This window comes from Homo sapiens, chromosome 17 (assembly GCF_000001405.40).
Source record: "Homo sapiens chromosome 17, GRCh38.p14 Primary Assembly".
NCBI classification, from domain to species: Eukaryota; Metazoa; Chordata; class Mammalia; order Primates; family Hominidae; genus Homo; species Homo sapiens.
This window is the reverse complement of record NC_000017.11, coordinates 9,936,882-9,963,810: the sequence shown is the minus strand read 5'-3', so window position 1 is coordinate 9,963,810 and position 26,929 is coordinate 9,936,882. Positions and strand designations below refer to the sequence as shown.

At 50.2% G+C, this 26,929-nt stretch overlaps 1 protein-coding gene across 13 annotated transcripts in view, besides 1 other annotated feature; it reads left to right on the top strand.

Annotated features, from left to right (window-relative positions):
• The window catches only part of GAS7 (growth arrest specific 7), a 288,001-nt gene that overhangs the window by 234,796 nt on the left and 26,276 nt on the right, over positions 1–26,929 (top strand). For 12 of the 13 annotated variants that reach the window (NM_201433.2, XM_011524044.4, XM_047436955.1 and 9 more), the window contains 4 exons: positions 4,556–4,609; positions 16,828–16,917; positions 20,575–20,690; positions 23,611–23,685. In NM_201433.2, the coding sequence (NP_958839.1) occupies positions 4,556–4,609; positions 16,828–16,917; positions 20,575–20,690; positions 23,611–23,685 (335 nt within the window). Of the gene's footprint in view, positions 1–4,315; positions 4,610–16,827; positions 16,918–20,574; positions 20,691–23,610; positions 23,686–26,929 lie in introns of those variants that run through there. The other variant, NM_003644.3, reaches the window with a different exon arrangement.
• Positions 4,798–4,991: a silencer, noted in NCBI's record as "fragment chr17:9862137-9862330 (GRCh37/hg19 assembly coordinates)". NCBI's record gives its function as "represses an EF-1alpha promoter that drives an FKBP-Casp9 reporter gene in an ReSE screen in HepG2 liver carcinoma cells {active_cell/tissue: HepG2}" and the evidence as "EXISTENCE:reporter gene assay evidence [ECO:0000049][PMID:32094911]".

Genomic DNA, 26,929 nt, shown 5'->3' with positions numbered 1-26,929 from the left:
AATAATGCCGCCTAATATATACACTCCAGATTCCTCAATTGTCTCAAAAAATGCCTTTTTTTAAGAAAGAAAAAAGAGAGAGATGGGGTCTTGTTCTGTACCTCAGGCTACAGTACAGTGACACCATTATAGCTCGTGAATTCTAGAACTCCTGGGCTCAAGCGATCCTTCCACCTCAACCTCTCAAAGCCTAGGGTTACAGGTGTGCGCCACCATACCTGGCCCCCAAATCCCTTTTATGGCTGCTTTTCTCCCCAGTCCAGGATCCCTTCAGGTTCACACACAGATACACTGGTTGCTGTGTCTCTGTTGTTTCTCTCTCTCTCTCTCTTCCCCCACCAAAAAACTGCTTTATTGAGCTGTAATTCACATACCCATACAATTCACCCATTTAAAGTGTATACAATTCAGTGTTTTTTACTATATTTACAAAGTTTTACAACCATCATCAAATCTATTTTAGAACATTTTCATCAACCCAAGCAGAATCACCTGAAGACTTAGGCAGCCCCTAATCTTTCTGTCTCTATGGGTTTGCCTCTTCTGGACATTTCATATAAATGGTATCATACTATCTGTGGTCTTTTGTGTCTGGCCTCTTTCACCTGGAATTCCAAGGTTCATTCACATCGCGGCATGGATGAACACTCCATTCCTTTTTATGACAGAAGAATATTCTGTCGTATGGATAGAACGTTTCATCCAAGTTGTTGCCTGTCTCGTTGCCTCTACACTCAATCCCTTACACCTTTTTTTCTTTTTTTTTTTTTTCATCACCTTGACGATTTATTTTTGAGGAGTCCAGGTCAGGTGTCTTATAGAATAACCTGCGTTCTTGGTCTGACTGTTCTCTTATGCGTAGGTTCAGGTTCTGGAGTTTGGGCAAGAATAGCTGGACAGGGCATGTGGGGTTCTTTTTACTGCATTTGGGGGCACAACCACCCAGGTTGGCACCCTACTCATGAGGCTCAGTTTGCACTCTCGGTTAAGGTGCTGACTGCCAGATTTCTCCTTTGCAGGGGTACATTTTCCCTTTCTAATTTGTCAGTCATCTGTGAGGTGCCAGTGTAAGACCCTGTGAGTATCCTGTGCCCTGGCAGTCTTTCCATCCCCTGCTTTCAGCATCCTTGAGGATCATGGCCTGAGTCCCCTTTGAGGCTGGGGTTTGCAAATGGTGGTCATCCAATTTCTTGTACATTTTTTATTGGCATTCTTCTGAAATAAATGTTCTCTCCCTTCCCCTTTGGAGTTAGTTAGTTAGTTGCAGTCATTCATTCATATTTGTGCTCAAATTGTCGCAGATTTGGCCTGTGGTAGCCCTTTAAGTTGTTTATGTTCTTTTGTTATCTCTCCATTATTCTCTGAATACTTTCTTACCTCTTGGTACAATAGGATATTCCAAATACCTGCCTTTGAAATTAGTACCAAGGAGCTTCCGGTAATATTTGGAAACCAATTTCTAGCCAGTAGATGTTGTCACTGTGATGAGATGTCATTCCTTCTGGGCCCTTTCAATGGAGAATTATGATAGTGTGTGTGTCACGTGTGTGTGTGTGTGTGTGTGTGTGTGTATAAAATGCACGTGATATGTATATGAAGTTGGAGCAGTAGGCACAGGTTATCAGCAGCACAGGCAGAGCCTGAGATTGCCTGTGATCTACCTTGGCCCTCAGTGGTTGAAGTAAAACACTGCTAATAGAACAGAGACCAGGGAAGGTGCTGACACCTAACACGTGGAACACCCAACCTCAATGCCATTACTTGTATTCCTATCCTAGCCAAGTTATAAGGAGGAGGTGCGACCTCTGCGTCAAGCCTTATTCTACAGAGATTTATACACAGTGGTCCCAAAATATATGTTTGTGGTTGATGGAAATCTTTTTTGCCTTCCTGCAAAGACACATGGAAAACAAAATATTGTCTCAGGTCTCAAAGTGGAGAGATGGCGGAAGATAGAGGAAAGAGTTATGCAGGCTTGGATTCTAATTTCCACTCCTCTGTTTACTATAGCCTTGTGACCCTGGACAGTTTTACTTCTGCAAGCCCCAATTTCATGATCTGCAAAATGGAGTTGATGCCATTTAACTTGCTGGGGTTGTAAGGATGAAATGAGATTAAATATGTCAGATGGCTAACCTGGAGCCTGCCGTAATAAGCAAGCACTCAGTAGACAGTCGCTCTTGCACTGCTTCTCCCCTTAGCCCCCTCATCACCAACATCATCAGCATCCATAGGCAGACTCGAAGGCTGTTGCCAAGGCTGCTGGAGTGCTGGTTCCCCTCTCTGGGGGGCTGCAGTGGGAACGCGGTGGTGATGGTGGTAATGTGTCCATGACAGGAAGACAGACTCCTGCAGACTGCAGAATCCATCCCATAGGCTACTCTTTCCCCTTCCTGCCATGTATTTGCTTGGCTAGAGTCTGTACGTGAATGAACCTATGGAGAGAGAGACTTCTATCCCTGTCTCTTCTCCTTGGTGACTGGTACCTCCTGCCATGTAGCCTCCGTCTGCCTTTCTCCCTGTGCAGTTTTGTCAAGTGGGAAGGTATAGGGTGGGCCAGCTGGATGAGATGATGCACTAAAAATGTCTATGGAAGCTGTAGTTGGCCATAAAGTTGACGTTGGCCAGGAGCCCGTTGGGGTCACTAGAGGAGTTGCCATAAGTAGAGGTACCTCAGTGAAACCACAGTGTAGATCAGATCCATGTATCTCTGAGTGAGGTCCACAGATTCTGCAAATCAGAGGTGCTGGCACCACCTGGGACCTGCTGGATCAGGCCCAGCAGCTGAGAGTGCAGCTGGGACTCTATTTTGGACACTTTTTCCTCAGTTGATTCTGATGCACCTCAAAGCTTGAGGACCAGTGATAACCATCCATTTGACAGATGGAGAAATTGAGGCTCAAAGAAGTCAGATTCTCTGGCCAGGGTCTCAAGGCTAGTAATCATTTTCTTGTCTGTGAAATTAATGCTCTGTAAGGTTCATTTTTGCTAGACACCTTAAGGATATCAGTTTTCCTGAGTTGACTTTAATTAGCAACCCAAGTAAGACTGTATGGGAGTAAGGGTATGCGACCTTAGCAGGGGCATAGTCAAGCTCCCTGGTTTGCCTAATTTGCTGACGGGTTTCTGAGGCAAAGGCTCGCCCTCACCTGCAGATGGTCATTTGGCCAGGTGTCCAGGGTCGTGCTGGCCTGAGGGGCGGGGTGCCCCCCACTCCAAGCCGGTGGTTCCTTCTTGTTGAAGCCCCTCCATCCTTTTTCTGGCCTTTATCTATAAAGTGACAGCCACTTCCTTACATTCTACCAAGGAAGAGTAAGGCCAGACTGGCCGCAGTGGCTCATGCCTATAATCCCAGCACTTTGGGAGGCCGAGACAGGTGGATCGCCTGAGGTCAAAAGTTCGAGACCAGCCTGGCCAACATGGTGAAACCCTGTCTCTACTAAAAATACAAAAATTAGCTGGGCGTGCTGGCGGGCACCTGTAATCCCAGCTACTCAGGAGGCTGAGGCAGGAGAATTGCTTGAACCTGGGAGGCAGAGGTTGCTGTGAGCCATGATCACGCCACTGCACTCCAACCTGGGTGACAGAATGACACTCCATCTTAAAAAAAAAAAAAAAGAATAAGGTCATGCACAAGTCCTGGGGCACAAGTGTGATGGCCACCTGCGGTGCCTTAGGGGTAAGCCTGCTTCCCAGGTTGCTGTGTGGCTCAGGATAGGAGACATCCCAGGTCCTGCTTGGGGATCTCTGGTATTGAGCCCCCAACATAATTGCTAATAGAACAACAGAGACCCAGAATCAAACATTCTTTGGAGTCGTAGGCTCTTAGGACACGTGTAGCATTTTGCACTGGCAGTCCTTAATTTTCTCTGCCAGAACGATCCCAGGACTTTGGCAAACTGCTGAGGACCCCAGGCTCAGAGGTACTTGGGACTCTGGTTTTCTTACTGGCGGTGGAAGACATCAAAAGGCAATATAAAGACTGAGTGGAAGCTGGAAGTCGGTTTGGCTGAGAAATCCCTCCTGGCTCACGGGGTTGGGGGAGCGGGGAGTCAGGGAGGTGACCGAGCAGCGCCCCAGTGCACATTGTGTGTATTTAGGTTTGACGTTTTGGACCCGGGGGGTTTCAGAATAAAATGTCGTGTGCTGATTCCTCAGTGCCAGGAGGTGGTGGCCTTAACTCTCTTCTCCCCAGTGGATTCCGCGGCTTCAGGCAGCAAGCGGCACGCGGAACGTTCACCAGCAGAGGGCAGCGGAGGGGTTAACTCCCCAAATCACAGACTGAGAGAAGAGGAGGGGAGACCTGGTTTGGAGCAGTTCTCTCAGAGCCTGTGCAGGAGGCTTCCTTAATTCGCCTTCAGCCCGAGAGCTGGGCGTGGGAACAGCGTGGGGTCAGGGAGACCCCTGCTTGCCCTGGCCCAGAATATGGTGACTTAGGATTCAGACTGAGCATCCCTGATTCCCCAGCGCCTCCACCCTCAGGGAACCTGAATGGGGGGAAAAAATGTCCAATATGGAGAACAGCTTTGACGATGTTTCTTGCCTCTCTCCCCAGAACCTGGGATCCTCATCGCCAAGCAAAAAGCAGAGCAAGGAAAACACCATCACAGTAAGTGGCTCCCGAGGGGCGCCCTCAGGGTGGGCTGCGAGCTGGGGCATTTGGCTGGGCTGTTGCCATGGCGATGTGGACCGCCAAGCAGAAGTGATGCCCAACCTGGAAACGGGGAAGTTCCAAAGCTCGGATTTCACTCAAGTTCCCCATCCACATGCCCCTCCCACCTCCCCTTCTCCTGTCAATTTCACATTTCACTTCTCTCCTGGTGAACAAGTGGAAGGAGGATGGCTGGGATGATGCAGAAGCCGTTTTTTCAGGGCAGGAGGGGAAGGTATGCGTGCGGGAGTGGGTTGAAGGGGGTGGACTGTGCTCAGCGCAAGTGATGTGACGTGTAAATTACAGCCACGGCAGGGTTGCTTTTGTGCGGGGTAACTTCTGGAAGATGTCAAAGTAAAAAGCAAGAGAAAGCGTCCTAAGAATAGAGTTCCTAGGAGTCCCTGAGGGGAGCAGGCAGCTTCTGCCTAGAGTGGCCAGCCTGCCTCCCAGGGCGCTTCGAGATGCCCAACCCCATGTGGAGATGAGGGGGAGCCCACCCCACCCACCCCCATGCAGAGATGAAGGGGAGCCCCACACTCCACCTCTGCTCCTCAGCCCTGTGTTTGGGGCAGCTGGGGCTGGACATCATTGCCCCCTGAGGGGCACAGGCCTGAGAAGTGTGGTCGCAGGTTTGCTATTTTGGCACAAGGGCAGGAGAGCAGGGAACGGGGTATTGCTCTCTTAGGCTCCAACTCACACAGCTCTGAGCCATTCCGACCACCCCTGTGGAGACAAAACCAAGAGTGGGTGCATTTCCCTGCTTCGTCCAGGCTGCACATCCTGCTTTGGGAGAAAAAGTGTAGGTAAACAATTAACAATAACAATTGCTGCAACTTTTGTGTGCACTTATTATGCACATGTAGTGATCCAAGTGGCTCATTTAATTGTCCATTAGCTATATGAAGTGTCAGTCGTGGAATCAATATAGTATAACGATGATGAACGTGGACTCTGAGGCCAGAGTGTCGGTTATATTAATGACAGTGCAACAGCCTGGGGCAAGTTTCTTGACTTCTTCCCGTCTCAGTCAATAACTGTCAAGTGGGGAAATGGGGGGTAGTGGGTGGTCTCTGCCTTAGGGATGGTGTAGGGACTAAATGGGTCCATCCATGGAAAGCACTTAGAACAGAGCCTGCATATAGTAAGTGCTCTGTGCACACTCATCACCCTGTTTACAGATGAGGAAACTGAGGCACAGAGCCGCACCTTGCTCACGGTCACCCAGCTGGGAAGTATCAGGATTTGAAATCTATGTCCTTACCACAGTGCCCCTTCTGGAGCTGGCTTGGGTTCCTTGTGTCATGAGCTCCTTTGGAGTGCCCTGTGCTGATGGACGGTGTCTCCAAGGGCTGGGCAGAACGACTCAGCCTGCTTGGACTGTGGGGTAGCAGCAGCCTCCCTGTTACCGGTGGAGTTGATGGAGCTGGTGGGTAGGGGGTGTGGGCAGGCTCAGGTGCAGAGTTCCAGAGGGTACAGTCCCCATCTTCAAATTGTCACAAAATGCCCCAGAATGCTGGGGCACAGCAGGAGCTCTCCAGAGTCTTCTGAAATACATAAAAAGGAGGGGGAGGAGAAAGGGGGGGAGGTCGGAGTGGGAGACATATTTGAATTCTAGAAGAAAAACAAAAATGCAAAGTGAAAAGCAGAGTGTTATGTCGTGGAGGGTTGCCTTAAAGGCGCTTAGTGATGGTGCCCAGGCCACAGGGTGGGGCACCTGCTGGAGTCCATCTTACAGCCAGGGCTTCGGGTGTGGCCGGAGGGGGCTGATGGCGGCCCTTGTTGGGCCCCTGATGGGCAGCACACCTCGCCCATCCCTGCCTTCCCTGTCGCTTCCTGCTGAGCCATATCATTGCTTCTCATGAGGGAGTCTGCAAATTGTATTCTCAAGCCTCCAAGACCTTTTTTAAAATGCAGATTCCTGGATGGCACCCCAGACCTTCAGTTGTTTTCTCTGGGGCCAGACTGGAAAATCTGCATTTGAGCCAGTGTTCCCCAGAGGTTTTAAGTAAACACTCATGCCTTGGAGAATTTTTTTGCCAGAGAAACTGAGCAAAGGAGCGACTGGCCAGAGGTCACAAAACAAGTGAGGAGCAGAGCCCAGGACTTGAACCCAGGTCTCCTGGCTGCTGGCCCAGGACACTTCCCGGTGTACCACCTGGCCTTGGCCCACAGGTCTCCAGGCCTTGGTGCCTTTTCCCTTCCACACAACACCGCTCTCCCATGCCCAGCCTCTTCCTCTGGGTTCTGATCCTCCAGAGTTCATGGTTTCCCAAGAAGGAGATGCTCAGGGCGAAAGGGATGGCTCAGGTCTCAGGAGGCTGGGGCGTGAACTTCCTTTTCTGTGGTGTGTAGGGATGAGGTGAGCCGCTTCCCGTGCTGTCTGATCCCGCAGAGCAGAAATTTCCAGGCCTGGGCAGCAAAGGGTGGTGGATCCAGAGAAAGAATGGAGCTGGATTCTGACGCTCCTTTTTCCCCAGGCTATGGGTTTTCAGGGGACAGACACATGGGCCCCCTGACAGCAACGGGCAGGGGCTGGCAGCCTTGCTGGGTCTTGTTTCCGCTGTCCCTGGTGTGGGGCTGGCAGGTGGAGTGTGCTGTTTGATTGGGAGTGACGGGTGCTCATGGCAGCTCACAGCCCTTGGCAGGAGCATGAACGCGTCTGAATCTAGAGGGTTTCAGAAAAGATGACAGCAAAGCCACCCGGCCACACTCTCACCTGGAAAGAGGAATTTGGGGACACCTGTGGTCCTCAGCTTCAGGGCTTCCCAGCGTAGCCACAGAACCCGGGGTAGGGGCTGGAGGTGAACCCTTGGGGTCCTGTCTACTCTTCTTCTCTGTTCCACAGAGCTCCGGGGCTGGCTTGTTCCTCTCCCATACCCTCCCAGATCAGCTTTCCTCTGGGAGAAAATTCAGAGCCTGTTGGACTTGAACCCTCAGTTGTCAAACCATTTTCCCTTCTCTGCTGCAGGCAAGGTGGTCAAACAGGCCGTGCAAGAAGCCTGTGGCCTCTGTTCCCCACAGGCTCCTGCTGGGCCAGGACTTAGGGGAGGGGCATGCCTTGGGGCCTCCGTATGTCAGCCCCCTTGGTCACACGTGTGTTCAGTGGCTCTCACACCTCAGCCAGGTGGTTTTCTGGCTGCTGTGTCCCACTGCGTACCCCTCAGAGAGCTTCTGGGAGGCAGCCCATGTGCTTCTGGCTGCTCCTGTGCGGAAAAGCCCTGCAGGAACCCCAGCTGCACAGTGGACCCCAGCAGCTGGGGAGCGATGGGGGTGTCACTCCATTTACCTGAGGGTTGGAGAAAACAGAGTTGGTGCAAGAGCGAAGACGCGGCTTTGTTGAGGACACTGGTCTCGGGGGAAGTGAGGGTGGGACTGCCTGCTGGAACTTGCCCTGAGCAGTACACACGGGGAGGCGTGCCCCTCTCTGGCTCCCTCTTGAGCACCCTTCCTTTTTGAGCCCCTGCCTTTGGTGGGGACCTGGCACATTTATACCTCAGTGTGTTGGAAAGGTAGTGTGACAGAGGCTAAGAGCCTAGACTGAAGCCGGCTTGCGTGGGTTCAGAGCCTGGGTCCACCTATTCCATGCACAAACTGTGTGATCTTGCATAAGTGACTTAGCCTCTCTGTGCCTCAGTTTCCTTATCTGTAAAATGGGGATAATAATAGCACCTGCCTTGCAGGGCTGTTGTGAGGATTCAATGAGCTAATACGTGTAAAACGCTGAGAACTGTGGCTGGCACATTATTTGCTTTTGTTGAACAAACAGAAAGTGGATCTTTAGGATGGCAGTGAAGCTCCTGCTATGCCTGGGAGGCCTTGGGAGGAGGATGAGGTCTTTCCAGAGGTGTAGCTGGACCCTGGTATTAACCATCAGGAAAATGTAACCGGGGGGAGGACAGGAATCCACATGCGGAAAGTCCTGTCCCACCTTCTCTTCCCTCCTTGGGCTTTGGAGCACCGCAGGGTGGAGCTGTGTGGCCCTCTCAGCCCTTCTGATCCAGGGACCTAGGAGCCTTGACTTTGAGGTCTGGATGTCACAGAAGGACACAGCAAGGATAAAAGTGGTGGCCCAGGAATTAGGAAGCTGGTTCTGGACCCTGCTCTGCCACTTATAGTGAACTAGAATTAAACATTCTGTGTCTCAGTTTCCTCATCTGTGCATGAGGTTGCACTAGACCATTGCAAATAAACATCGAGGCTCCAGTTGCTTCCAGGACATCTGCGCGCACACACCTCTCACCATGCCCCTCTGCTGCCACTGCCTCCCTCTCTCCGAAGGGACTGTTCTTCCATCTTCCATCCCAATGGATGGAAACATGCTTCCTCTCCACCCAGGTCAGTCAACTCAGGGTTTCTCAGCCTCAGCACCATTGATCTTTTGGGTTGGATAGCACTTTGTTGTGGGGAGCTGTCCCGTGCATTGTAGATATGTATCACCTTCCCTGGCCCCTACCAACCAGAGGCTAATAGCATCCACCCTCGACCCCACACAGCTGTGACAACCAAAAATGTCTCCACGTTGCTAGATGTTTCTGGGGTGGGGGAAAAATTGTCCCTGGATGGGCATCACTGAATTGACTTCATGGTGCTGTCAAGGGCTACCTGTAGAGTATCCCAGGCTTCTTCTAATCCCCTCTTGACTATGCTGCTCCCAGCTGCTATCATGACCCCCCACCCCCCACCCCCCATCCCCCATCACTGCAGACTGCCCTGATGGCCACAGTCACGTTCTCCCTCCAGTGCATCCTCTATGCTGTAGTGGGGGTGCTCACCCCAGACAACAGCCTGATTAATTGTTACTCTCCTGCAGGGTGCTTCTGTGGCCCCCGCTGTCCTGCTGCCTTCAGGACAGACCTTGGCACCCCTGCAAGACCCCCTCTCAGCTCAGTCTTGTCTACTCCCTGACTCAGGAGCAGCCAGAAGCACAAGGGCTGCCTCCCAGAAGCTCTCTGAGGGGTACGCAGTGGGACACAGCTCAGCCAAACCGAGCAACGCGGTCCCCACCTGTAGGGCATATCCTCTCATCCTGAGTCCTTTCCCTTCCTGCAGTACCCTTCTCACCTTCCCACCCCTCTGTCTGCCTGGGCCCTACTATTATTACCTAAATCTAAGATTCCTCCCCTGGACCCTCAGTCCTTCCAGTAACCTCAGCACCTCAGGCTTACTCCACTGGCAGGTTTATCCCAAAGAATTACAGTGACTTATTTACGGAACTGTTGAGAGCAGAGATGATGCCTTACATTCCTAGCCTCCGGCCACTGCACCAAGAAACATCTCCTGAGCACCCACTATGTACCCAACACTGCACCAGTCAGGAGGGAAATGGCAGGGAAAAGATGGTCCCCATCCCCTTGTAGAACAGGCTGTCTGGCAAGGAGGAGAAACATTAAATAAACCATCACGAGAAATATCATTACAAATGTATGCATGCAGCTTGCTGGGAAGAGCTAGCGTAGCACGTGGCACTGAGCAGCCTTTCAACAGATGTTCGAATGGAAAGTGAACGAGCAAATAGCCCATCACATAGCTTCGTGGTCGAGGCTGGAGCTCTGCAGTCAGCTGGATCTGGATTCGGATACCTCGCTTCTGTGATCCTCAGTTTCCTCATATACGATGAGGCTGTTCTTCCTCCCCTGTGGAGTTGCTGGGAAGATGAAATGAGAATACATGCAAAGCCCTAAAGAGGGTGCCTGAGTCAGGGCTCCCCTGCAGGAGTGAGGATTTGGAGAAATCCCAGTGGGCTTCCTGGGAGGGAGAAATCCCAAAATGAGAGAGGACAGAGACAGTGGCAGGCACCTCGGGGCTCCATCTGAGGACTGGTATCCTCAAGGAGTGGCAGAAGCAGCAGGGTGATGAGTCCTTAATGAGTCCTCACATTCTACTGCCTTTACTCTTCTGCCCCAACCTGTTTTCTGTTCCTGCATTCGTTTGCTAAGGATAATGGCTTCCAGCTCCATCCATGTCCCTGCAAAGGACATGATCTTATTCTTTGTTACAGCTGCATAGTATTTCATGTTGTATATGTACCACGTTTCCTTTATCTAGTATATCGTTGATGGGCATTTAAGTTGATTCCATGTTTTTGCTATTGTGAATAGTGCTGCAATGAACATATGCGTCCATGTGTCTTTATGTGGAAAGATTTATATTCCTTTGGGTATATACCCAGTAATGGGATTGCTGGGTCGAATGATAGTTCTGTTTTTAGTTCTTTGAGGAATCACCACATTGCTTTCCACATGGTTGAACTAATTTATGCTCCCTCCAACTGTGTATAAGTGTTCCCTTTTCTCTGCAACCTTGCCAGCACCTGTTATTTTTTGACCTTTTTAATTATAGCCATTCTGATTGGCATGCCATGATATCTCATTGTGGTTTTGATTTGCCTTTCTTTAATGATTAGCGGTGATGAGCATTTTTGCATATGCTTGTTGGCTGCACATATGTCTTCTTTTGAAAAGTGTCTGGGCCGGGCGCGGTGACTCACGCCTGTAATCCCAACACTTTGGGAGGCCAAGGTGGGTGGATCACCTGAAGGTCAGGAGTTCGAGACCAGCCTGACCAACATGGTGAAACCCTGTCTCTACTAAAAATACAAAAATTAGCCGGGCATGGTGGCAGGCACCTGTAATCCCAGCTACTCGCGAGGCTGAAGCAGGAGAATCGCTTGAACCCGGGAGGTGGAGGTTGCAGTGAGCTGAGATCATGCCATTGCACTCCAACCTTGGTGACAAGAGCAAAACTTTATCTCAAAAAAAAAAAGAAAAAGTGTCTGTTCATGTCCTTTGCCCACTTGCCATGTAGGATCTTAAGAGCAGGGCTCTGTGGCTTGTTTATCTGTGTGTCTTCCATTGTGGTGGGCACAAGGTCTCCCCCAGGGGCTGTCCCTGTCCCTGCTAAATGGATCACGAATGCTGGTTCTCAAAGTGTGGTCCCTGGACCTTCAGCATCACTTGAGAGCTCAGACCCCATCCAGAGCTCCTGAATCAGACAGTGGGGGGTGGGACCCAGCAACCCATGTCCTCTAGGTGACTCTGAGGCATGTTCATCCTCGACTCTGGGACAAGAAGGGGACTGAGTGGTACTTAGGTGGGTCTCAGTCCTCCTCAGGACTTCCATGGCCTTTTAGGTGGTTGGCTTGGAGCCAGCCAGGATGCATCATTGAAGGGGCTGTCCTTGGTACCGTCTCCTCTTCCGGCTAGCAGTCTGTCTGCACAGGCCTGCTGGGGTGCACGGTGGCATCCTCACTCTGAGGGTAAGTCAACTCAGGAAGATTCTGGGGGGAACAAGACTGGCCAAGACCCATTTCTCCTCCTGCCTGCCCCACGTTTTGGCCAAGCCTCTTCCTGACATGGGAAAGTCCTTTCTTCTTGTTTTTTTTTTTTTTTTTTTTTTTTTTGAGACAGAGTTTTGCTCTTGTTGCCCAGGCTGGAATGATGCAATGGCGCAATCTTGGCTCACCGCAACCGCCACCTCCCAGGTTCAAGCGATTCTCCTGCCTCAGCCTTCCCAAGTAGCTGGGATTATAGGCATGCGCCACCAAGCCTGGCTAATTTTGTATTTTTAGTAGAGATGGGGTTTCTCCATGTGGGTCAGGCTGGTCTCCAACTCCCGACCTCAGGTGATCCACCCATCTCGGCCTCCCAAAGTGCTGGGATTACAGGCATGAGCCACCGCACCTGGCCAGGAAAGTCCTTTCTTTGTAGGGAAGTGTTTCCCCGACAAGAGGGCAAGGCCAAGAGCAGTTTGAGTGAGGAAAGACGATGGAAAGGGGAGAGATGCCCGCAGGGCAGGCCACTCCAGAAGCATTCAGACCCGCCTCTGAGTACCCACAACTCTACTCGTTCCATCATTCTTAATGCTCAATTTACTTTAATGTCATAGTTAATTTATCATTAAATTTGATTGAAATTTTCATGGACTGCATTATTCAGTAACATAAAGATGGACTGTGATGACTGTGATTTGTTGAAATAAGAATAATTGGAATACAAAATAAGGAATCTGTGCACTTTTGAAACCCGTCCCTTGTTTTCATGATTGCCTGCTTGGCAGTGGGTTGTGGAGGCACAGGAAGGAAGGAGACTTGTCTCTGGACACACCTTGGGGACTCGGCCCGAAACCAAGGCTTGGGGCTTTCTGCTGCTGGCCTCAAGAACTGGCCCTCCCTTCTCTCACTGAGGCTGCTGAGGCCTGGGAGAAAACTCCCCAGCCTCAGCTGATCTTCATCTAGCCTTTGTTTTTTTAATCCATCACAGTGCTAATTTTTTAGAGTTCAGGAAGCTGTGCACCTTTTTTTTTTTTGAGACACAGTCTCGCCCTGTCACCCAGGCTGGAGTGCAATGGCGCGATCTCGGCTCACTGCAACCTCCACCTCCCGGGTTCAAACAATTCTCCTGCCTCAGCCTCTCGAGTAGCTGGGATTACAGGCGCCCACCACCATGCCCGGCTAATTTTTGTATTTTCAGTAGAGACAGGGTTTCACTATGTTGGCCAGGCTGGTCTCCAACTTCTGACCTTGTGATCCGCACACCTGGGCCTCCCAGATTGCTAGGATTACAGGCGTGAGCCACCACACGCTGCCACAAGGTGCCTTTTAAAAAACTATCTTGATTTTCCCCACTTATCATTAGATTCAGATTAAATATTTTTGACAGGATTTTTTTTTAACTTAGGCTAAAGTGCAGTGATATAATCATAGCTCACTGCAGCCTCAACCTCCCAGGCTCAAGAGATCCTCCTGCTTCAGCCTCCCAAGTAGCTGGGACTACAAGTGTGTGCCACCATACCTGGCTAGTTTTGTTTTTTATTTTTTGTAGAGACAAGGTTGTGCTATGTTGCCCAGGCTGGTCTTGAACTCCTGAGCTCAAGTGATCTGCCCGCCTTGGCTTCCCAAAGTCTTGGGATTACAGATGTGAGCCACCATGCCCTGGCCAGGAATCTTACATAGATAATGTTGTATTCTTAGAAGTTACACATTTTGAAAAGGAGAAAGAGGCCCAGCACAGTGGCTCATGCCTGTAATCCCAGCACTTTGGGAGGCCGAGGAGGGTGGATCACTTGGGGTCAGGAGTTTGAGACCAGCCTGGCCAACGTGGTGAAATCCTGTCTCTGCTAAAAATACAAAAACTAGCCAGGTGTGGTGACATGCACCTGTAATCCCAGCTACCCGGGAGAGGCTGAGGCAGGAGAATCACTTGAGCCAGTGAAGCAGAGGTTGCAGTGAGCCGAGATCGTGCCACTGCACTCCAGCCTGGTGACAGAGCAAGATTCTGTCTAAAAAAGAAAGGGAGGGAGGGAGGGAGGGCAGGAGGGAAGGAGGGAGGGGAAGAGGGAAAGAGGGAGGGAAGGAGGGAGGGGAGGAGAGGAGGAGAGGAAGGGAGGAGGGGAGGAAGGGAAGGAGAAAGAGAAGAAGGGATTATCCTTGGCAGAATTTGGTGCAGCCCTGTCATCTCCAGGGTCGTCCACGTCATTCCTGCCTCTGATCCTTCTGCTGAGTTGTGTTTCCCTCTAGGGTGGTGGGGACCTCAGCCCTCACCTTAACCACATGTAAGGATCTGGGAGGAGGAGGCTCCTTCTTTTGTTGGGGACTTCTCCCCAGACTGCGACTGAGGTCTGTGCCCTGGCAGCTGGGGAGGGGGTGTGCGCTAGATTTACTTCTAGCCACCCAGGAGCTTCCTGAACCAGAGGTCACAACGGGAGGTCCATGGGCCTGACTTTGCTGACAGAAGAGTTTGTTGGGCCTACATGGTGTTATTGTGTTTATTATTATTGTTTTTAACCTTGAATTAATTGCCAACACTTAAAAATGGAGACACTTTGCATAAAAGTCCCCATTTTCAGCTTCCCTCGAGTCATCACATAATCCGTCAGCACTGGACTCCTCAGAAGGGCTTGACGACACTTGGCAAGAGCTGAGCAGGATCTGCCCCTTGGACGCATCTCTGCAGCCTCTGGCCCCTGCCCAAAGAGCTGAGCAGGATCTGCCCCTTGGACGCATCTCTGCAGCCTCTGACCCCTGCCCAAAGCAGATGCTGTCCGCCCTCCTATCCCAGCTGCAGTTTCTGTGACGCTGTCCGCCCTCCTGTCCCAGCTGCAGTTTCTGTGACGCCTGGGTACCTCACTGGCTTGCACACCCCGCCTAGCATTGGAGTTTGTGTCCTGGGCCCAAAACCTCAGGGCTGCATCATTTTTTAATGTGTGACATTTTCCACTTCAGCAGGTGCTTGGGCTGCAAGAAGGGGTTAAAGACTTATAAGGCTCAGGCCTTGCTCCCACAGAGGAAGCAAATTAGCCCGCGTCCTAGGAGAGGTGGGAATCTGGGGCCTGAAGCCACCTCCACACAATGGGGAAAAGCCAGGCAGTATTGCAGATGTGCTCGGGCAGAAAAGGCTGAGATGACCTGAAAATTTCTGTACTTCACGCTCCTTAGCTAGGGCCAGCCTTACACGTGCAACCCAGATTTTTTTTTTTTTTTGAGGGGGAGTCTCACTCTGTCACCCAGGCTGGAGTGCAATGGCACAATCTCGGCTCACTGCAACCTCTGCTTCTTGGGTTGAAGCGATTCTCCTGCCTCAGCCTCCTGAGTAGCTGGGATTACAGGCACATGCCACCACGCCTGGCTAATTTTTGTGTTTTTAGTAGAGAAGGGGTTTCACCATATTGGTCAGGCTGGTCTCGAACTCCTGACCTCATGATCCACCTGCCTCGGCCTCCCAAAGTGCTGGGATTACAGGCGTGAACTGCCGTGCCCGGCCCCCCAGATTATAATTTTAAGGTGTATTTGTTCGTATGATACACATCGTGACATAAAATTTGCAAGGTAATCTCTCACCCCTGACCCTCACCCACACAGTTCCTTTCCTTGGAAGCAAACAATGTTATCAGTTTCCAGGAATATTCTATATGCAAATAACCAGATGTGTATTATACAGGTGACCCTTGAACAACATGGGAGCTAGGGGTGCCCCCTCCTCACCCATAGTCCAAAATTGACATATAACTTTGAACTCCCCAGAACTTAACTACTAATAGCCTCTTGTTGAGTAGAAGCCTTACTGACATGAACACATATTTTGCATGTTTATGTGTATTATACACTGTATTCTTACAGTAAAGTAAGCTAGAGAAAATAAAATGTTAAGACAATTATAAACAAGAAAAATATAATTACTATTCTTTAAGTGGAAGTGGGTCATCCTCAAGGTCTTCATCCTCAACATCTTCACATTGAATGGGCGAAGCAGGAGGAGGAAGAGGAGGGGCTGGTCTTGTCTTCCTTTTTGAAAAGGAACTATAATACTCTGCTTGCTTTTTTTTTTTTTTTGTTTTTAACCTTCACCTAACCATATATCCTGGCACATTTTCCTTGTTAAATTTTCTTTTTTTTTTTTTTGAGACATAGTTTCGTTCGTACAATGGCATGATCTCAGCTCACTGCAAGGCTGGAGAGCAATGGTGCCATCTCGGCTCACTGCAACCTCTGCCTCCCGGGTCCAAGTGGTTCTCCTCCCTCAGCCTCCCGACTAGCTGGGATTACACGCATGCGCCACTACGCCCAGCTAATTTTGTATTTTTAGTAGAGACGGGGTTTCTCCCTGTTGGTCAGGCTGGTCTCGAACTCTCAACCTCAGGTGGTCCGCCTGCCTCGGCCTCCCAAAGTGCTGGGATTACAGGCGTGAGCCACCGCGCCCGGCCGCTTTCCTAATTAAATTTAAGAACTTCATCACCATGTCCTTTCTGATTTCCATAGATGTCTATCTCATACTTTGTTTAACCATTCCCCCACTGATGGACATTGGAGTTGTTTTCCAGCCTTTAACGGCCATAAATAGCGCTGTCGTGAAAAAGCGTGTGTGGATGTCACTGCCCCCATGCAACTGTATCTGTATGATAGACTCTTGTGCAATTGCTGGGTCAAAGGCACCTGAAGTTTGCAATTTTGATCCTAGTAAACTGCCATCTAGAGAGGTGGTACTGGTTCACAGCCCATTTGGGGTGGGGGTGAGCACCTGTTGCCGCTCATGTGAAATGCTGGCCCCTGGAGCACGGGAAGATCCCTGTGCGTGTTCTGTCAATAGGGAGGCTGCTCCAGTGCCGTGTCCCCCAGGAGCCGAAGCCTTCCTCGCTATTCCAGTCTCCAGCGGGGTCATTCTTTCTTGTTCTGTGCCCTACAGATAAACTGTGTGACGTTCCCTCACCCAGACACGATGCCGGAACAGCAGCTGCTGAAACCAACCGAGTGGAGCTACTGCGACTACTTCTGGGTAAGCAGCGCCTCAGTTTCCCCCACAGCGTGACCCCGGTGACCGGGAGTGGACACCCAGGATGGGTAGGAGGGACCTGGATCTCAAAGTGGAGGGGCCTTTCTCGTTGGAGCGTGAAGGGCTGGTGTTAGAGTTTGCATCTGTGACAGGAACTTAGGACCCTCTTGGGGTCCAGCTCATTCCATGAATCTCAGGGGTTCAGCAGGACTTTTGTTCACATTACAGACACTTCAACCAGAATGTAGGTAAGCGGGGGGCCATTTTCTCCGATGCTCAGTGAAGGCAGGAGACTAGAATCTGCCTCAATAAATGAACGTGGGCTCCATACCTGCTTGTCACTTACGTGAGTGACGTTGGACAAGTGCTTCACCTCCTTGGGCCTCAGTGTTCTCATCAGAATTGTGAGGCAGTTGGGCACAGGATCTTCAGAGAGCTCCAGCTTGGGTAATCCTGTAGTTTTAAAACGTTTGCAGATCACTTAGCGAACACAGAGTTTTAGTTTTGCAAGATTAAAGACAATTTTGCAGGTGGATGGTGGTGATGGTCGCACAACCATGTGAATGTACTTCATGCCACTGAACTGCATTCTTAAAAATGGCTAAAATGGTCCGTTGTGTGCTAGATGTATTTTTTTCACCATTCAAATAAATAAATTTGTAGAAATGCAGAGTCCTGTACCTCAGAATATCCTGGGAATGGTCCTGGGCCATTTGCATGTTAAAGTCATAGTGACTTTCAGAATTAGATCACCCCTTTCTGGAATCAGATAGTGGGGATGGTCACAAACCCTGTGAATGTATTGAAAACCACTAAATTGTACATTTCAAAAAAACAAGTGTCCAAAGACTCCAAGGAACAATAAATAAGTAAAAACTTTGTTTTCACCACTTTGCAAGAATGGATTTTTTGAGACAGAGTCTCACTCTGTCTCACCCAGGCTGGAGTGCAGTGGTGTGATCTTGGCTCACTCCAGCCTCCACCTCCCAGGTTCAAGCGACTCTCCTGTCTCAGCCTCCTGAGCAGCTGGGACTACAGATGTGTGCCACCACACCCAACTAATTTTTTGTATTTTATTTTATTTTTTTAATAGAGACAGGATTTCATCATGTTGGCCAGGCTGGTCTCAATCTCCTGACCTCAGGTGATCCACCCACCTTGGCCTCCCAAAGTGCTGGGATTACAGGCATGAGCCATCGTGCCCAGCCGGATTATCTACACTTTTTTAGATTTGCTAACCGAATACTAGATAAAAGTGCTTTTCTCTTTCTACAAAATCGCTTGTACCTTAGAAGATATACAAAGATCCCTGTTGCCTACACCTCTCACCAAGGCACAATTTCTGTAGCTCCAGCTGTGCTGTGTCCAGGGTAGAGATCTGTGCATTGGTTGAGGAAACAGTATAAAGGGGCTTATCTTTGGCATCAGACAGACCTGGGCAGGTGAGCTCAGAGGGCGGGGTAAGCAAGCATCGGGGTAAGCAAGCATCAGAGTGCGTAAGACTTTCTAGGCCCCAGTAAGTGAGTTTTATTCTGCTTGTGGAAGGAGGGTGTTAGAAGGTCTTAAGCAGCAATATGATGTGATCTGATTCATAGGCATTGTGCAGGTGGGGGTGGGAAGTTGACGGGTGAGTGGAAGAGACCAGGAAAGATGGTGGTGGCGGCAGAGAGGGAGAGATGTACCTGGGTTTGGAAACATCATCTCTCAAGAGGGGTGCAGTAAATGGAGGGTTCAAGGAGAGAGTGGTTTGAGCCCTGGAAATGGGTATCCTAGTTGCTGGAGGTCAGCGTGTGGGGTCTCAAGCCTTGGAAAGCTGGTAGGAATGTCTGATGCCGCCTGCATCCAGCAGCATCCGGAGGGCGACACTTGTGAGTTCTTATCTTAATTCGAGCTCTCTGGGGACTCTGATACTTAATCTGCAATCCACTTATCCCCCTGACCATCAAGGCCTTTTCCATTAATAGAAATTTCTCTCTCCTGACACAGTCATTAAAGCCTGTTTCTTCTGGCTGGTTTTCCCCAGAGTGCATAGCTCAGCATATCCATCCTAGAAGGGAGGCAGATTTGAGCTCAGTATTTGGATAATTTTCCTTCTGCTTTTTCATCAAGATGTAGCATTCGTAGAGTGAAGCACAGAGATCTTCAGTGGACATTGCTTTTAAACTGCAAGAACAGCCCGACTGTGACCCCGTAGGATGGTGATCTCCCTGTCATCAGGGATGTTAGCAGCGTGGCCGGAGGCCTTTGAGTTATGGCACCCGAGGGAGGGGTCCCACACCGGGGGAACTGGGAAGGTGTCCATAAAATCCTTCATCTACTTGATGATGGTAAATGGGGTTCCCTGCAGGCATCAGCAACCCCTTTTCTTTCCCCTCTCCTAAAATGTCTGATCTGGATGGGATCTGAGAGATGCAACCCACCCCTATTTCAAGGGGGTGGTCCGGGGAGATACTACCTAGGATTGGACACCCTGCAGCTGAGCAGAGACAAGAACCTGGGTCCTACCAGATGCTGGGACACTGTTCTCACCAATGCACCTCTCTCTCTGGGATATCAAAAACCTGTTCTGAACACCTTCCATTAAGTATCAAAGTGTTTGACCCTGGGTTCCTGATAGGGAAAAGCTGTAAGGAGGAGGACACTTTTAGACATGCCTGGGATGGCCCTGGGAGCTGGTGCTCCAGCAGCCACGGCCGTGCGGGCAGATGTGTGGGTGAATCTCAGGCAGGGGAATGGCAGGGAAGGGGCATTTGGTATGCTTGAAGAAATGCAGGTAAAATAAAATAAATCATTTAATTTTGAAATTTTAAGAATATTTGTTTGCAAAATTAATTGGCTGCTAAGTACTTATTTCATTGACTTGCCCATCCTCCCCAAGTTTGGACTTTTATTTAAAAGTAACTAATAACAGATGCCATTTATTGGGTACATAGTATGTGCTCAGCAATGTGCTCAGATATATACATAGGTCATTTACCCTGAAATGACCACATGAAGGTGGGGCTGTTATTTCGTCAGTTTTGCAGATGAAAAAGCTTAGGCCTGGAGTGAGTGAAGAACTTGGCCAAGGTCACCCAGCTAGTATTTCAGGGCAGCCTGTCCTGTTCTCTCCTCCGGCCTCCCTTCAACCCACTTTCTCTCTATGATTTACTTTTCTCTCCTGTGATCTTGTATGAATGTGTGGTTAGAGGGTGTCACTGCCCTACCAGTGTAAGAAGTTGGTAGAAGACAGGATGGCTTAAGGCTGGGGGTACCTGCTCCTGAGCTCACACATAGTCCAGCTTGGAGTCAGGATGCCAAGATTCGCCGAGGGCCAAGCCAGATCTGCAGCCACCTGGTTGGAAGTCGTAGGCCGTTAGGCATCACAGCCGGTGCTCTTGGACACTTGCCCTTCTTCCTCTCAGTTCCCAGGTTGGGAGAGTTAAGGGGCTTGGATGTGGGGATGCAGCAACTGTAAGAGCCTGAGCATCAGAAAGCGCTGTTGGGAGTGGGGGCACCAGGAGAGAGATCCGAGTTAGGGCAGCAGAGACAGCTGCTCCCGCGTCTTGTGCTGGACTGGGATTGCCAGGCACATCTAGGAGCCGTCCTCCCTCTACGCCATTCTCCCTGGCTCCAGACTCAGACGTGCCCTAAACTCTTGTGCTTCTGCTTCCTTTGTAGGCTGATAAGAAGGACCCCCAAGGCAACGGCACCGTGGCTGGGTTTGAACTACTGCTCCAGAAACAGCTGAAGGGCAAACAAATGCAGAAGGAAATGTCAGAATTCATCCGGGAAAGGTGAAGCCTGGGCCCCTCCCAGCCCTGGGGCCTGGCACCAGTGTTCCCCGGGGCCCCGTGGCCGGGGCGGGGCGACAGCACAGGACTCAGTACTGCACACTCAGCATTGGGCTGGTTAGCGCCAGGCGGCAAACTCATGGCGCCTGGGATGGATCTGGTCAGCAGTTGTGTACCTTTGGCCGATATAGTGTTTTTAAATATTGAAAGCAACACTTAAAAAAATGGGTAGATTTCATATTAAAATCTGGATATTTAGCACACCTTGAAAGAGCAGAAGCATTGGCAGGATTGCCTCCACATCCCTCACGCGACACTTGGCTGGAGCTGAGTAGCAGCTACTCTTGTAGAGGGGGTGTGTGTTCCCATTTTGCCAGTCTCCACCATTCCGTACTGTCTTCCCCCGCAGACTCCTTCACTCCTTTACTTATGTACCTGGCCATCATTTGAAGCACAGCCCTTTACCGTAACCAGTGGGGGGGATGTTACAGTTCAATTCATCGTTAGCCAAAACCTGTGTCCCAGGGCAGGAGATGTTGAACCCTCCTCCTACCCCATCCCTGCCTCAAGGATTATAACAGTGTTTTGTCTAAAGAGCTTGGGAACACAGATGAAGAAACAATAAATTCAGCCCAATGGAAATGGAGAAATCGACAAAGAGAAAGAGAAGTTCCTTCTCTATCTCCTTCCTCCTCTCTCTCTGTCTCCAAGTTCTGAGGCTCTGTTCAGCACACACTCACATACCCACAGCTGCACATACCCACCTATCACCCATGTGCACACACACACAAACACACAACTTTCCACCTGGAGTTGGAAATATAGCAAATTGCAATATCTTTTTAAAATATTTCTTTTTTTTTTTTCTTTTAGACAGAGTCTCGCTCTGTCATCCAGGCTGGAGTGTAGTTGCGCAGTCTTGGCTCACTGCAACCTCCATCTCCGGGGTTCAAGCGATTCTCCTGTCTCAGCCTCTGGAGTAGCTGGGATTACAGGCATGTACCACCACGCCCAGCTAATGTTTTGTATTTTTAGTAGAGGTGGGGTTTCACCATGTTGGCCAGGCTGGTCTCGAACTCCTGACCTCAGGTAATCTGCCCGCCTCAGCCTCTCAGAGTGCTGGGATTAGAGGCATGAGCCACTGTGCCAGACCAAAAATATTTCCTTTTTAATTATAACAGCAATAATCAAGTAATAATGCTTCGGCGTTTTGAAGCACCCCTTTCCCTTAGAGGGCCTATTTTCATATGAGATCGGATGTGTTCAGGGTGGTATGGGCATAGACAGAGGGCCTATTTTCAATTTGTGTAATCAAATCCTTATTTTATGACCCATTAAACTGGTGGGAAACGGAGAGGTTGCACAGCTCGGGTTTGAGAAAACAATGGTATAAAATAGGCAAATAGGAAAATTGCTGTAAAAGCCAAAGCTTGAACACGCTTATGGTTTATATTTCCATGACAACGTCTTGTTAGCAAATAATTGGAAACTGCCATTTCAGGACATTCCGGGCTTCCTAGAGAAAACGCATACACCATCCACCTTGGGATCTCATAGGGAAGGCCCTTTAGTGCCAGGAGAGGTGAGAGCTGAGGCTCAGAATTGGGAGCTCGCCTGGCTTGAGGACAGGTGCTGGCTGGTTTGCTGGGATCTTGGTTTAGAGAAGTGGGGCAGAGGTAGAGGTGACGCACGCTGTCGTCCTGGAGGTGAGACACAGGAGGCAGACAGCGTATGCACCTCGTGTGTCTGGTGCATGCTGTCGGCATTGAGGAGCCGGGAGCGTGGCATGGATAGATCTACTTTCTAGATATCTCTCTTGACCACAGTCTGGAGGTGAAGGTAGGGGGATGGAGAGGAAGTGACAGAGGCAGATCAGTTGGAATGAGACTCAGGAGGACCTAGAGACCAGTTGAAGGTGGAGGTGAGGGGAAAGCAGTGCAAGAAGGAACGAGATTGTGAGTCTCCTGATGCCAAGTCATGCAATTATTATTACTCGGAATGCTGCCGCCAGACTTTGTCAGCCGCCCTCTCTCCATCATCGCACCCTTTGGGTGCCAGCTGCTTGAGCAGCTGGGAAGCAAACGCTGTGGTCCCAGCATCTCTGGAGCTTCTCTGTTCACCGTGTGGTGGACCAGGGGCTCTCCGAAGCCTGGGCTCTGGCCAGCTCTGGTTGGCATAAGCATAGCTCTTCTGTCTCCCACTGTGGCCCAGAGGACCACTTAGGTGGTGAACAATACCTCTGACAACATGCTTAACATGGACGTGCCAGATAATACAGGACACTCCCTGGGGAGTTGCCTTGCAAATGTGTCAAAGGCCTGCCTGCCGGAAGCTACATCCAAGGCAACTTTCCTCTCCAGGGAAATAGAATCTACCTGCAGCCCTGGGCACTGCTAGGTTTCCGTGGAAGTACTTGTACCCAGCAGGCTTGACAATCAGAGGCATTGGGGGTGTGAGACAGTAGGGAGATGTTCTGTTCTGCTGCTGAGGGTCCGAGGCCACCTGGGAGTTCTGGGGCTGGAAGGGAGAGGGGACAGCACTGGGGATTGCTGGTAGTCCATCACGAGTTGCAAACGTTCATTTCTTCCTTCATTCATTTATTGGTTCAGGGGTCTTATGTTTCCCGTTCTGTGCTAGGAACTGTGTAAACGACAGCTCTCGTCTTCACAGCTCTAGGAGACCGGAGAAAATGTCCTACTTTGCAGATGAGGAGATGGAGGTCCAGACAGTTTTGTTCATTCATTTATCCAACAAGTATTTATTAAGCACCTACTGCATGTCAGGTAGACAGACAAGAGCCATGTGGTCTCAGAGCTTATGGTCTAGTGGGTTCCTTTCCACGGCTGAGGTGTGCAGGGCAGCAGGGCAGACCCACGATCTGGCACTGGAGAGCTGATGTGTGTTGGGTTTTCTCTCTTTGCAGGATAAAGATTGAAGAAGACTATGCGAAGAACTTAGCTAAGCTCTCTCAGAACTCCTTGGCTTCACAGGAGGAAGGGTGAGTGGGTAGGAGAGAGGTGGGAGTGGGGAGGATGGGGGGTCACTGAGGAAGGGAAATCAGCCACTATCACTGATCACTGGCATGGCCCCACTTTGGATGGGGAGCTCTCCATAGGCCTGGCTCAAGGTGGGCACTCATGGCTCAGGTAGGTGCTCATGACTTGGGTGGGCACCCATGACTCAAGGTGTGGGCATCCACACTCAAAAGGGCACTTCCAGCCGGGCGGGTGGCTCACACCCATTATCCCAGCACTTTGGGAGGCCGAGGCGGGTGGATCACAAGGTCAGGAGTTCGAGACCAGCCTGGCCCACATAGTGAAACCCCATCTCTACTAAAAATACAAGAATTAGCCGGGCATGGTGATGAGTGCCTGTAGTCCCAGCTACTTGGGAGGCTGAGGCAGGAGAATGGCGTGAACCCAGGAGGTGGAGCTTGCAGTGAGCTGCGATCGGGCCACTGCACTCCAGCCTGGGCGACAGAGCGAGACTCCGTCTCAAAAAAAAAAAAAGGCACTTCCACATTGTCTTCTCTTTAGTGACCAAGAGCCACGTTCCAGATGTTGAAGTATGTCAGAATCCCCTCTGGTCTGACCCCTGGTAGCTGGGCAGCAGCCTCTAGATGCCCACTCCAGCCTCCCTTTGTCTAGGGGCAGGCTGGGAGGAAGCTGCGTATGAGAGGGTATTGTACCTGGCCGCTTTGTCTGGAGCTCTCTCCTGTGGGCTTGAGGCATAGGCTCCCTTCCCGCTAATGCTGTGACTGTCCAGACCTCCTTGAGTGGGACCTGGGCTGGGAGAAGCTTAACCCAACCCTCCCAGCCACAGAAGGACTCCTAGTGGGTAAAAAAGTCTCAGCCCTTATGCACCCCTGGGGGAAATGGAATATGGTACAGCCGCTGTGGAAAACAATCTGGTTGTTCCTCAAAAAGCTAAACATAGAATTACCATGTGACCCAGCAATTCCATTCCTAGGCTTATACCCAAAAAAACTGAGTACAGGCACTCAAACTAATACATGTATACACATGTACACAGCAGCAATATTCATAATAGCCAAAAGGTGGAAACAACCCACATTCCACCCAGGGATGACTGGATAAACAAATGGTGGTGTATGCACAATGGATACCCATGGATAGACAATGGAATATTACTCAGCCATGAAAAGGAATGGAACACTAATACATGCTACTGTGTGGATGAGCCTCGAAAACATTCTGCTAAGTTACAGAAGCCAGGCACAAAAGGTCTCATAGTGTATGATTCCATTTATGTAAAATGCCCAGAACAGGCAAACCCATGGAAACAGAAAGTGGATTGTCATTTGCCAGGGGCTGGGGGAGGAGGGGAATGGGTTGTGACTGCTTAAAAGTTACCGGGTTTCCTTTTGGGGTGTGTATTCATCTGCTTGGGCTGCCACAAGATGTCCCAGACTGGGTGGCTGAAACTACAGACATTTATTTTCTCGTGGCTCTGGAGGCTGGGAAGTCCAAGATCAAGGTGCCAGCAGGGTTGGTGCCTGGTAAGGACTCTCCCATTGGGTTGCAGATGGCCGCCTTCTGATTGTGTGTTCATGCAGCCTTTCCTTGGTGTGTGCTCAGAGAGAGAGAGAGAGGGAGCTCTGTGATGTCTATTTTTTTTTTTTTTTTTTTTTTTGAGACAGAGTCTCGCTCTGTCGCCCAGACTGGAGTGGCCTGATCTCAGCTCACTGCAACCTCCACCTCCCAAGTAGCTGGGACTACAGGCATGTGCCACCATACCTGGCTAATTTTTTGTATTTTTAGTAGAGACGGGGTTTCACCATGTTGGTCAGGCTGGTCTAGAACCCCTGAACTCAAGCAGTCCACCCTCCTTGGCCTCCCAAAGTGCTGGAATTGTAGGCGTGATCCATCGCGCCTGGCCAATGTCTATTTTTATAAGGACACTAATCCTATCAGATCAGGGCTGCACCCTTATGACCTCATTTAACCTTAATTACTTCCTTAAAGGCCCCATTGCCAAATGCAGCCACATTGTGGGTTAGGGTTTTAACCTAAGAATTTTGGCAGGACATAAACCTTTAGTCCATACTAGCATGACGAAAATGTTTTGGAACTAGATAGAGGTGGTAGTTGCACTCACAAAACAGGCGTTTGATTTGGTCTCGTCCTAAATGCGCCTGGATCGATCACTTTTCAACGGTTAATTTTATGTTATATGAATTTCACCTCTGTAAAAAAAAACAGAAAGACTCTCAGGAGGTTAGAGTTGAAAAGGTCCCCAGAGGTCCTCTCCGTTCTGACCTCCCTCTGGTGCTGGTCTGTTTGAATTCCTTCTCCAAGGGGGAGTGAACCCCCGAGGAAGGAAGACGTTCTGTTGTGGGATGGTTGTGGTCGTCAGCGAGCCATGATGTTAAACCAGTCCAAATCTGCCTTCGTGGCTTGAAATCCTTCAGGAGACTGAGATTTTGCCAACCCAAATGTGGCTTTGATTAAGCCCTCCACATGGGTTGGCTGTGCAGCCAGGCGGCCTCCTTTGAATGGTTCTCACCCTCCCTGCCAGCCACAGACCGCAGGGCGGCCCAGCAAGACCAGCGTCCCTTCCACAGATGTAAATGAGGTTAGTTCATTCCTGGCCTCCTTCTGCTCCATGCACGGGGCCTGAGATAGGGGCAGGAAGGGGGCACATAGAGGAGCAGCTCTTGCTGCCTGGCAAGGGGCTTTCCTAAGTATCCCCGTGCCCTGCAACCACTGTGCCACTCCGGAGTCTTCCGGCTTCCATCTCTCCAGCCTGGGCTGCTGCCAAGGACACTGTGTCCTGGCCAACATGCACAGCATATGCTCCTCACCCGAGCAGTCCAGCTCCATAAGTCAGGCCCACACTACCATACTGTACACACATGCCCGGACAAACACAGAGACAAACACAACGCAAGCTCACATACATGCATCAGGGCCACTGCCTCGTAGGTGTACACATTACTCTGTGTGTGCATGCACGCACAGCAGCCCCATGCACACACTCCTGCAGCAGGCACTGGAACATGAACACATGAGCCCCCTACGTACAACGTGCAAAGACACTGATTTACATTTACACACAGCTTTGGACATTTAACCCTATCTCCTTGAAGACTTTCAAAGCAAAGCAGGAGTCTAGAAATTTGGAGCAGTTGAGGAAGATGCTGCTCAGGGAGGCTGGAGAGGCTTTTGCAATTCAACTTCTGTGTCCAAATTAGATTTCACAGGACATGTGCACATTGGTAA